The following is an 11,673-nucleotide window of genomic DNA, read 5'->3' as shown; positions in this document are numbered from 1 at the left end:
CATGTGCCCATGGTAGTCAGGGCACAGCTTGGTTTCATACATTTAGGGAGACATCAATCGATATGCGTAAGAAGTACATTGGTTTGGTCTGGAAAGGCGGGACAACCTGAAGCAAAGGCAGGAAGTCTCGAAGCCCAGAGGGAGCTTCCAGGTCGCAGACAGGTGATACACAAATGCCTACATTCTTTTCAGTTTCTGATGAGCCTTTCCAAAGGAGGCAAATCAGATAAGCATCTATCTCAGTGAGCAGAGGTGTGACTTTGAATAGAATGGGAGGCAGGTTTGCCCTAAGCAGTTCCCAGCTTGAGTTTTCCTTAGTGATTTTGGGGGCCCAAGATATTTTCCTTTGGCACTTCTTGTAAGAGCACTAATCACACGCACAAAGGCTCCACCCTCATGACCTAATTATCTTCCACAGGCCCCACTTCCTAATGCCATTGTGTTGGGAGTTAGGATTTCAACATATGCATTTTGGGGGCACACAAATATCCAGCTCATCACAACTACATAGAACATGGAGTAATGTGTGCCCACGATGGTTAGCTATCCCTTTTCCCACACCCAGCACGGACCCTGCTTAGTTGTCATCACAGTGCCGTTGAGGTGTGTTCACCCCACTCTAAAGCGATGTTTGAAATCAGATGACAGCACTACACTTTATTATTATTTTTTTAATTAATTAAGGCATGGTGTCTCACCCTTGTGATCGTAGCACTTTGTAGGGCTGAGGGTATCCCCTTTCCATGGATACCCTCCTTACCTTTCTTGGGCTCAAACTTTTTACAACAATCCTGCCCCTGCATGAATACCCACACCCATCTCTCCCTGTGCCTGCTTAGCTTGCATTGCCAAGACATTCCCTTCTTGGTCTATACACCATGCCAGTTTCCTCTGCTAAGCTGATGCTGCCCTCATTCAGGTGGAGTCTGACAGTCCACACTCGTGTGCCTGGACCTCCCTCCTCACCCTGCTATACCCACCGGGATGCCCTGCTTCCACGTGAATGTTCTCCTCACCTGGCTTGAACTCTGACACTGCGCCTGTGCTCCTACTCACTTCCACTCACAGGGTTGCTCCCTGCACCGTGCTGAGGCCCTGAATCCCCAATGTGGACCCACTGCACAGACATTGTCTTCACTCAGCTTAGGCTCTAACATCTGTTCCCTTTTTCATGCCACTGAGACAGACCATTCACCCAACAAGTCTGTTTCATCAAGAGTTAAAACCTTGCTCAGATGCGATTTTTATAGGAGTCTATTTAAAGAAGCAAGTTGATACGGCAAATAGCTATGTACAAAGTAAAAACAACAACAACAATAAAAACCTATGAGATTTTTCCACTCACAGCGAATATAATGGGGTTGTCAGAATAGAAAGCTGTGATGCTGCATGCAGACTGTTGCTATAGTACCTAATACAGCTAATAAATTGTGTGGTTTTCATAAATAAACGTGTGTAGCTATTGCCCCCTTCCATCTTCCATCAGAAGTATCCGAAGTTACAATTGTCATTTTAACCTTTATAACTGTAGTGATACTTACCAATTGGAAAACATAAAAAATAAGAATCTGGCTCTGTTCTGCCAGAGATGAACTTGAAACAGAATAGTTACCTTTTTTAGAGTTAATGTCATGATCCGTCTGAGAAGTCCCTGTAATAATTGCATTGTTCTTGCCACCAGAAGGCCATTTAGAGTGGCAATAGCCCTTTTATATCGGTATATTATCTGCAAGATTTCCAACCTAGACTTATTTTACAGATGAGGAAACTGAAGGACAGAGAGTTAAGAAACTGGTCGAGGGTCACACAACTAGTAAGAGAGACAGGCAGTTACCGCCCCCCTCCGCCCCATTTGACCTGGCTTCCATGCTTTTATCCTCCATACTGTGTGCTGACCCTAGGTAAAAAAACAGAAACAAAAAACCTTATTACAGGATTATCTGTAACAGGAGAAAACCAGGAGAAACTAACCATAGATGAGAAAGACATTAATAATTCATCCTGTGGAATTTAACAGTCACCCTGTGCCTACCTGTCCACCCCAGGTAAATCCTGGGCACAGCCCAAGTCCATGGAGGATCCTCACTAGAAGGAAAAGCTCTAAGGGGTCCAAGAGACCCCTCAGGCATGAATGGTCTACTCAGAACATCCTGACCTGGTTTCTGTTTAATTCTCTTCAGGAGAAGTTTAAGGAAACTCCATCATGAGCTTGGAAGGTGGCTGTTTCTGGGATGTAGAAATGAGACAGCAGGAATGAGGCTCAGCTCTTGGTTTTGGGGGATGAGTGGCCAGGGCTAATCTGCCAGCCTTCTGCCTTTGAGTCTTGCACATGCAACTTTATTTAAGAAGCTATGTTTTCTTTATGACCACAAGAGGCAACCAACATCCAGAATGCAGAGCCCCCTAGGCAAGGCCACAAAACTAGAACTATTCCTGTGGTGATGGCTGCTTCTTTTTTTTTATACCAGTCACCATATGATGTCACTTGTCATCCTGTCTGTAATACTGGGCTTCCTTGCTGGATTCAAACCACACAATGGCCAGATTCTGCCCTTGTGCAGCTCAGACTCTGGGCTCAAGACTCTTGGGGGAAGACTCAGTTTGAACTCCAAGGGCACATCTCTCTAACTGATCACAAGGTCCAGCAGGTAGTTGGGAGGGTCCTGGGGCCTGGTGAAGGGGGAAGGACCTCATGCCTAGAGTCCCCATCGCTACACTCTGAGGGTGGCTCCAGGGTAGGAGAGAATACTGGGCTTTGTATCCTCTCCCATGGTGGCATGGTGATTATCCCCACCTGGTTTTATTTCTTCACAAAATCACCACCAGGTTTCAATGGTCTTGAGCATTTGTGTAGCGGAATCTGGCTATTTAGCAAATGTCAAAGACTTTTTGGGTAAGATTTGGTGACCTATGGAAGTTAGGACTTTGATGAAGTTAAAATAAAAAACTTTCATAAGGAAAATAGTCCTACTGGAATTTTGACCAGAAATGCATTCAATGTATAGATTTAAGGAAAATTCATGTCAACGTAAATGATTAAGACTTCCCATCCGGGTACAGGAGCACAAAATGTTGCTCTATTTATTGCAAGTCTATCTAATAAGGCAAGTCCATCTTCTTTGTACCTCCCCCAAATTTCTTTTTAAATTTCAAGGCTGACTTGGCTACTTGTGGTTAAAATGAAAGAATTTATACTTAATCTGAATTAGGATAAGACTCCTGGAGTGATTTGAGGAAGTGGTGACAGCATCATTTGAATGTAGTTGGTAAATCATTTAGCTATAAAAATTTCTTGCTTGGTGTTTTTTTAAAATTTGAATTTTTATGTGTACATAATAGGTGTATATATTTATAGGGTACAAGAGATGTTTTGATACAGGCATGCAATGCGTAATAATCACATCATGGAAGATGGGGTATCCATCCCCTCAAGCATTTATCCTTTGTGTTACAAACAATCCAATTATACTCTTTTAGTTATTTTTATTTATTTTATTCTATTATTTTTATTTTATTTATTTTAGACAGAGTCTTGCTCTATCCGGGCTACATATGGTGCAATTTTGGCTCACTGAAACCTCTCCCTCCTGGTTCAAGTGATTCTCCTGCCTCAGCCTCCCAAGTAGCTGGGATTACAGGCACCTGCCACCACACCCAGCTAATTTTTTATATTTTTAGTAGAGATGGGGTTTTACCATTTTGGCCAGGCTGGTCTTGAACTCCTGACTTCAGGTAATCTACTGCCTTGGCCTCCCAAAGTGCTGGGATTACAGGTGTGAGCCATTGTACCTGGCCTTTTAGTTATTTTTAAATGTATAATTAAATTATTATTGACTGTAGTCACCCGGTTGTGCTATCAAATATTAGGTTTTATTCATTCATTCTATTTTTTGGTACCCATTAACCTTCCCCGCCTCTCCCTCCCTCCCCCCACAACTATGCTTCCCAGCCTCTAGTACCATCTTCTTACTCTCTATCTCCATGGGTTGAATTGTTTTGATTTTTAGATCCTACAAATAAGTGAGAAAATGTGACATTTGTCTTTCTGTGTTTAGCTTCTTTCACTTAACATAATGGCTTCTAGTTCCATCCATGTTGTTGCAAATGCCTGAATCTCATTCTTTTTTATGGCTGAATAGTACTCCATTACATATAAGTACCACATTTCCTTTATCTATTCATCTGCTGATGGACACTTATGTTGCTTCCAAATCTTGGCTATTTGAACAAGTGCTGCAACAAACATGGGGGTGCATATATTTCTTCAGTATATTGGTTTGCTTTCTTTTGGGTATATATCTAGCAGTGGGATTGCTGGGTCATGTGATAGCTCTATTTTTGTTTTTTTGAGGAACCTGGAATCTGTTCTCCATAGTGATTGTACTAATTTACATTCCCATCAAAAGTGTACAAGTGTTCCCTTTTCTCCACATCCTCGCCAGCATTTGTTATTGCCTGACTTTTGGATAAAAGTCATTTTGACTGGGATGTGATAATATCTCATTGTAGTTTTAATTTGCATTTCTGTCACAATCAATGATGTTGAGTACCTTTTCATATGCCTGTTTGCCATTTGTACGTCTTCTTTTGGAAAATGTCTATTCAAATCTTTTGCCCATTTTAAAATCGGATTATTAGATTTTTTTCCTATGGAGTTGTTTGAGCTCCTTGTATATTCTGGTTATTAATACCATGTCTGACAGGTAGTTTGCAAATATTTTCTCCCATTCTGTGGGTTGTATTTTCACTTTGTTGATTGTTTCCTTTGCTGTGCGGAAGCATTTTAACTTGATGTGATCCCATTTGTCCACTTTTGGTTTGGTTGCCTATGCTTGTGGAGTATTGCTCAAGAAATCTTTGCCAGGCTGGTGTCCTGGAGAGTTTCCCCAACGTTTTCCTGTAGTAGTTTCACAATTTGAGATCTTAGATTTAATTTTTTAATCATTTTGACTTGATTTTTGTATATGGGAACAGATAGGGGTCTAGTTTCATTCTTCTGCATATGGATCTCAAGTTTTGCAAGCACCATTCATTGAAGAGACTGTTTCTTTCCCAGCGTATGTTCTTGGCACCTTTGTTGAAAATGCGTTCACTGTAGGTGTGTGGATTTGTTTATGGGCTCTCTATTCTGTTCCATTGTTACATGGTGATTTTTAACATCATGAATAGTAAGTAATCTATGAATACTTTTTAATATTAATATTAATAGTAATCATTCTGATAAATGATAACATTGTGCCTAGCTCTTTTCTTTTTGTCTGTGCTTACTTTTCACAAGTTTATTTACCCTAAAATATTTGTTTGAACTTTCCTAGGTTAAGCCATAGACATACATGTCAGAAAAAATTATTGCCCTCATGAAGATTACATTTTAGTGGGTAAAAAAATGTTATACAACATGGTATATCTTTATCCATAGATGTTTCCATAAAAAGCAAGAAAAACAAAAAGCTAACTTTTTCTCAATGAAGCATGGTACCATTCGAGCTGCTTGCCATATTTCTGGTCCTTCTCACTTTCTGGCACATAGTTAAGTTGTACTTCTTTGACTCCTTCTGGTTGAGCGGGACCAGGTGACTAGTTGTCACCAGTGAGTTGTAAATAGAAGTAAGTTGGGGCACTTTTGAGCTGGAGCATTTAAATGCCAGTGCAAGACCCTCCAGGACATTTTTATTGCTGTGACATGAAGCTGGACTGCCTTGGAGATGGTGGCTGCTTCATCAGGCTGGGCTCCTGAGTGACTACTGGAAAAAGAGGCCCTTTCCACCTTACCTACTCCCAATGGGCGTGGTCTGTGACTGTGACATTTTGTGGTTTTGCTCCTCTGAAATTTTGTGGGGGAGGCATTATTTGTTACTGCAACATGCTTCATTTTCTTTCTTTTTTTTTTTTGAGACGGAGTCTCGCTCTTATTGCCCAGGCTGGAGTGCAGTGGCGTGATCTCAGCTCACTGCAACCTCCACCTCCCAGGTTCAAGCTTCTCCTGCCTCAGCCTCCTGAGTAGCTGGGATTACAGGTGCCCGCCACCACACCCGGCTAATTTTTTACTTTTAGTAGAGATGGGGTTTCACCATGTTGGTCAGGCTGGTCTCGAACTCCCAACCTCAGGTGATCCTCCCACCTCAGCCCCTCAAGGGTTACAGGCGTGAACCACGCTGCCCAGCTGCTTCATTTTCTATTGTCAGTGGGAAAAATGGCATGGCTGGAGTATTGGAGTAAGCCTATGCTGACTGATACAACGTGCTTGAAAGAAAACAAAATAAACTACCTTTCTTTAGGACTTGTGAACAGCCAGCTACTAAATTATACTTGCACAGCACAAGTGGGCAGATGTAGCTTTGTGCAATATTCTTTGCACTAGAATTAATCGGAGCTATCTAGTACTTGTCTCTTCTTGCCTTTTCTACTTTCTATTCCTGATCATTGGTCCCCATTTCACTGCTATAGTTCTTGTTCCTTCTCTATCCAATGCTTGACATCTTTTCTTCATGTACTTTGTAATACTCTAGAATTGGATCTGGCATTGACTTTCTGTTATGAACACCACACATTTCTGATTTCAGTCTTCCTATGCTCCTTTTCCACATTAAACCAAGTGCAACATAAACATCTTCCTTGCATCCAAAATAGGTCATTCAGTCCAGATGGCTTGTTAATTTATTTGAAAAGTCTAAGGTAATGCTACTTTTTTTCAATGCATACTAATAGACTGGCTCTATCATTTTTAGCTTTATTATTTTATTAGTAAATGGCACTTTAGATACAATATAGCCCACTCCCTCTTCCTGATTTACATGAGTGGAGATTGTTGGATTGAAGTACCACTTAAGCAACCAGAGGTCTGAGAGATGTTATGGTAGCATTTTGTAATCTCTGCTACACAATAAAGTTAGTGAGGAGCTTCAAAAGATCCCAAAGCCCAGGCATCACCACAGCCAGTTGCAATGATATTGCTAAGGACAGGACCTTGGCAACAGTATTTGTTAAAGTCTCATAGTGGACTCTTAGGAGAGGCAGCTGAGATTGAGAATGACTCTTAGATGTGAGTTCTGGGTCAGATGAAGGCGGGTAACCAAAGTAACTAGCAGCAGTCAGACAGGAAGGAGAATGAAACCTAGGAGACAAAATTTCCCAGGTCTTCCCAGCAAGGACTAATCTGCTACAAATCCCATTGTTGATATGCATCATACTTGGGCTTAGACCCCCTTGAAGACCACCAGGCCTCTGTAATTTGTGTCAGCTTCTCCTTTTCTCTTCTGCTCTAGGCACAGCATTAAAGCTACTCCTAGGCTAGCAAATATTTAAAGTCAAAGCCAGGTAAATGGACTCATATTGTAAAGTCCAGTAAGAAAGAAATAAAGATTGTGAAGACACTGGAATGGAGTGTCTGGGGTTGGGAACTACAGCAGAGACAAGAGGGTTTTTCCCTCTTCCATTTTTTGGAAGCACACACACAATGAAGCAAGTAGGCTAGAAGGACCCAGCTCCTTTACTGGGGCAGAGCCATCTTCACACTGCTGGATGGTCCAAGCAGGGGAGAGATGGGAGATGGCATATGACATATTTTGATATAGAAACCAATACCTAAGCAAGTAATGAAAACAAACATCTAACAAAGTGCTTCTACATTTGTTTTTTTGAATAATAGATAATGATATATTACTATATACTTAGGCAAAGAATATTGTTCACTTCTGAGAAAAGAATCCAGTTTAATATCTCATTAAAAAGGTATATCTCAGGGAGAAGGCAACTTGAGTTCACCTTGATGTTATACCTTGATATTATTCTTCCCAAGCTACATTGGTTGTTAGGTGTAAATGTGTTATATATTAAAGATGTACAAATACAAAGGGGCTCTGTAGGCTGGTTCAACACCCACTTTTGTACTTTCTTTCTTTGCTCTTCTCCCCATAACTTCCCTTGTTTTTGCTCCCACCTTCTCTTTTTCCCCCTCATTTTTTCCTTGCCTTCTGCATTTCCTAGGTTCCCTGCCTTCCCTGGCCTCTCCCACCACCAGATCAGCCCACCTGGCAGCTCTCACGCTAGGCCCTCTCTGATTCCACTTCATCAATACCACCTCTTCTTGCGACTTGTATCTGTTCTTCAATTTCCAATCTTCGTCTCTGTTAGGAGGCTTTCCCTAAACTGTGTGACCTCATTTCCCTGCTGTCTCCATAAGACCACCCGCGAAGCTTGAAGCTGTGGCCAGATTTCTCTGGGACTCCTTGCAGTGACCTACCCAGTGAAGCTTTGTTTAACCATTCACAAGAAATGAGTCATTGAAGCCTTCCATGTTTGGGAAAAACTCCTGTTTGTCTAAGGAGGCCGACAGAGTAGCTGAATGCTATCTGAACTTGATGTCTACAAATCCTAATGGAGAGCTTCATTATTTCTTCTCCTTGATTTTCTAGCTTTAGATCTAATAGACCAGCTGCTTATTCTGTGTGCTCTAGCTGATGTCAAGAATCTGTCTGGGCCTGATGACCTTGATGCTTCATTTTCTATGTCTTGTCAGTGGGGAAAATAGCAAGGCTTTGGGTATTGGAGGTTGATGGTAGCTCCTGCATTTATTTCCTTCTGCTTCTCACCCTTTGTTGATATGGGACCTCTTGCTTCTCTGTGTTCAGTCTGCCATTTTATCTATTCCCCCTTAAATGAAGATTCTCACCTTAATGTTAGGGTTTGAGAAGGATGGACAAAGTACAGAACATCTCAGAATCTCTGGAGGTGAATAATAGTTTGGAAACTTTTCCATGATTATAATATTATTATATTGTACAAAAATAAACAAGCAAATCTTACTATTTTCTTTTTGTTAAGTTATGCTCCAGTGACTTAATATTGGTTAACTGCAAAACTTTTAAGATAACTTATTTTTCTCAAAACAGGGTTAATTGCACTACTGTTCAGTGAAAAATTCCTTACTGGATTCACATTTATTACAAAATAAATTACTGAATCCTTAATATGCAATTGAAGGAACCCCTTGACACACACATACACACACGCATATACACGGTAGGACTCCTACATAATTTTTCAACATTTTCCTATGTGCCAACTTATTTTTTTAAGTAAGTACAGCAGATATTTTAAAGCTTAAGGAAACTTTGCTTATTCTATTCTTTCTCCTCACATGCCTTCTTTATTATCACCAATCTTGATAACATTTTTTCTATTCTTTCTTATTTTAATGCAAAAATTCTAACATGTAAGGGCAGAGAGAATAATACATGGCTAATCTTGTTTTAGCTATCTATCCATATTTTTTTCCTGGAGTATTTTAAGACAAATCCCAAATGCCATATCGTTTTGCTTATAACTCTAAAAGATAAAGATAACTAAATACTAAATACTTGTATTAATCACCCAATATCATTTAATATTTATTTCATGCTCAAATTTTTTCAATTGCTTCAATAATGTCTTTTTACAATTGGTTTGTTTCGGTCAAGATGCAAACAAGGTCCATAATTAGGATTTGGTTAATGTGTTTCTTAAGTCTCTTTTCAACTACTTCCACTTACCACCCTATCCCATTTTAATGTCCTTTAGTTTTTGAATAAATCAGCTCATTGGTCCTGTATAATGTCCTATCTTCTGCATTTGGTTGCTTGATTCCTCATTACTACTTATTATGTCCTTTTTGCCTGTATTTTTGGTATATTGGGAGTTAGACCTCTTCAGAGGCTTGATTTGGATTCTAGCACAATTGTTTCAGGGAGGAATACTTTACAGATAGCCTTGCGTACTACATCATTCAGAAGACCCACAATGTCTTCTGTTCTTCTTTAGTGATATTGAAGCAAGATATTTCCCTGACCCCTTCGTAGGACTAGTGAAGGGGGTACCTCATTTACTAATCCCGCAGCTCTCAAGTCCTCGTGGGAGGGAACGTGCGAGCAAATGAGGTGGGAACTGTAGTGCGCAGGCGCTGGAACTGGCCGGCCACTTCCGCGCTGGCAGGGGCGAACTCCACTCACTCAGACCCGCTGCTCTCCACCCCTCGCTGGAGGGAGAACGCAGGTGAACAGCTGCGGGAGCTGGGGTGAGTGCTTTTGAGCCCCGGCAAGAGCAAACTTTGTGCTGGCCACGCGGCAGCATCTGGGGGGTGCTCGTGACCCCAGAAGCCCCAGAGGGAGTGGTACACCACTCTTTTACTTCAGCCATCCACGGACGGCTTAAGTGTTAACAGCTCAGTGGGCCCTCTGCCTTTTTGCGTGAGGTGGCTGCCTTCCACCAGCGAGGGCAAAGGGCAAGTGTGACAGCCTTTTGCATCCACACTCGTGGTTTCCGAGTTCTTGTCCAATGTCCAGGAGAAATGAGGTCACACGAAGGATGGTAACTGCGGAGGATTTTATTGCCAATAGAGGTGGTTCTCAGCGAGAAGGGGAGCTGAAAAGGGGACAGGGAGGGATGGTAATCTTCCCCTGAGATCCAGCTATCTCTGGCCAGATTATTCTCTGAGGTTATGCTGTCAAGCTGTCCCTTTAAAGTCAAGCTGCTTCTCTCCGACGTCCAGCTATAGTCTCTGACATCCAGCTGCTGCTTCTCTCTCTGCCGCTAAGTTCTGGGGTTTTTATAAGCACAGAATGGGGGGTGGGGCGGGCCATGGGTGGTTTTGGAAAAGGCAACATTCGAGCAGGAAAACAGGGATGTAACTTCTCACTTTGGGCCACGGTTTCAGTTTTTTTGGCTTGCAGGTAGGGCCCTGGCGGGGGCCCTCTTCTGCCCAGAATTTCCCTGCCTCCTGTCCCTATCAATATTAAGATTGATCTGTGGGCTGGTTGTGGTGGCTCACACCTGTAATCCCAGCACTTTGGGAGACCGAGACAGGAGGACCACCTGAGGTAAGGAGTTCGAGACCAGCCTGGCTAACATGGTGAAACCCCATCTCTGCTAAAAATACAAACAAAAATTAGCCGGGGTGGTGGCTCATGCTTGTAATCTCAGCTACTTGGGAGGCTGAGGCACAAGAATCTCTTGAACCGGGGAGGTGGAGGTTGCAGTAAGCTGAGATCTTGCCACTGCACTCCAGCCTGGGTGACAAAGCGAGACTGTCATACACACACACACACACACACACACACACACACACACACACACAAAAGATCAGTGCGTTCAAGAGATTTCAGCCTGATGATCTCATTATAACTTTTCCTATTAACCTTTCTTTCCCTTAAAGGTTTTAGCAGCCTTTGACGTTTGTCTAGTTCCTTTATTTTATTAGGGGTTGTACAATTGTGACTCTTCTTTCATTCTGCCTGCATTTATTAGCTATCATTTTCTAAGAATAACTTTCTCTTGTCTGTGATTTAACTACCCAGAAATACAGTTTGTATAGGAAAAAAGAACAAATGCTTTATTTTTTCCCTTTATGGATTTATTTTCAGAATTATAAGTTGGGACTTAACCAACCTCCAAGAAGACCAGTGAATTTTTGTTAAAGTTTTATTATAAATTCATAAATCCCTTCATGTTTGATGTGTTTTAATCCATTGCAGTCATTATTTTTAATCTGCTATCATTGTAATTCGAACCACAGCATATAAAGCCTGTCTAAATTTTCTTGTCTGGTGGGGATATAAAGCAACATAGCAAAGATTCTCAAGGTAACCTGTGTGTTAGCCTATGGGGAGTAAGCGGTGATGGTTTTATACTAACCAAAAT

General features: G+C 41.6%; 2 annotated features.

The window, feature by feature from the left end:
- Positions 1–502: an enhancer, noted in NCBI's record as "NANOG hESC enhancer chr7:16551577-16552078 (GRCh37/hg19 assembly coordinates)". NCBI's record gives its function as "activates a minimal SCP1, AML or CMV promoter by ChIP-STARR-seq in primed H9 embryonic stem cells {active_cell/tissue: H9 hESC(primed)}" and the evidence as "EXISTENCE:reporter gene assay evidence [ECO:0000049][PMID:30033119]".
- Positions 10,061–10,561: an enhancer, noted in NCBI's record as "H3K4me1 hESC enhancer chr7:16541518-16542018 (GRCh37/hg19 assembly coordinates)". NCBI's record gives its function as "activates a minimal SCP1, AML or CMV promoter by ChIP-STARR-seq in naive H9 embryonic stem cells {active_cell/tissue: H9 hESC(naive)}" and the evidence as "EXISTENCE:reporter gene assay evidence [ECO:0000049][PMID:30033119]".

Source organism: Homo sapiens, chromosome 7 (assembly GCF_000001405.40).
Source record: "Homo sapiens chromosome 7, GRCh38.p14 Primary Assembly".
Lineage (NCBI taxonomy): Eukaryota > Metazoa > Chordata > Mammalia > Primates > Hominidae > Homo > Homo sapiens.
The sequence above is the reverse complement of the archived record's forward strand: the minus strand, read 5'-3'. Positions and strand labels throughout refer to the sequence as shown.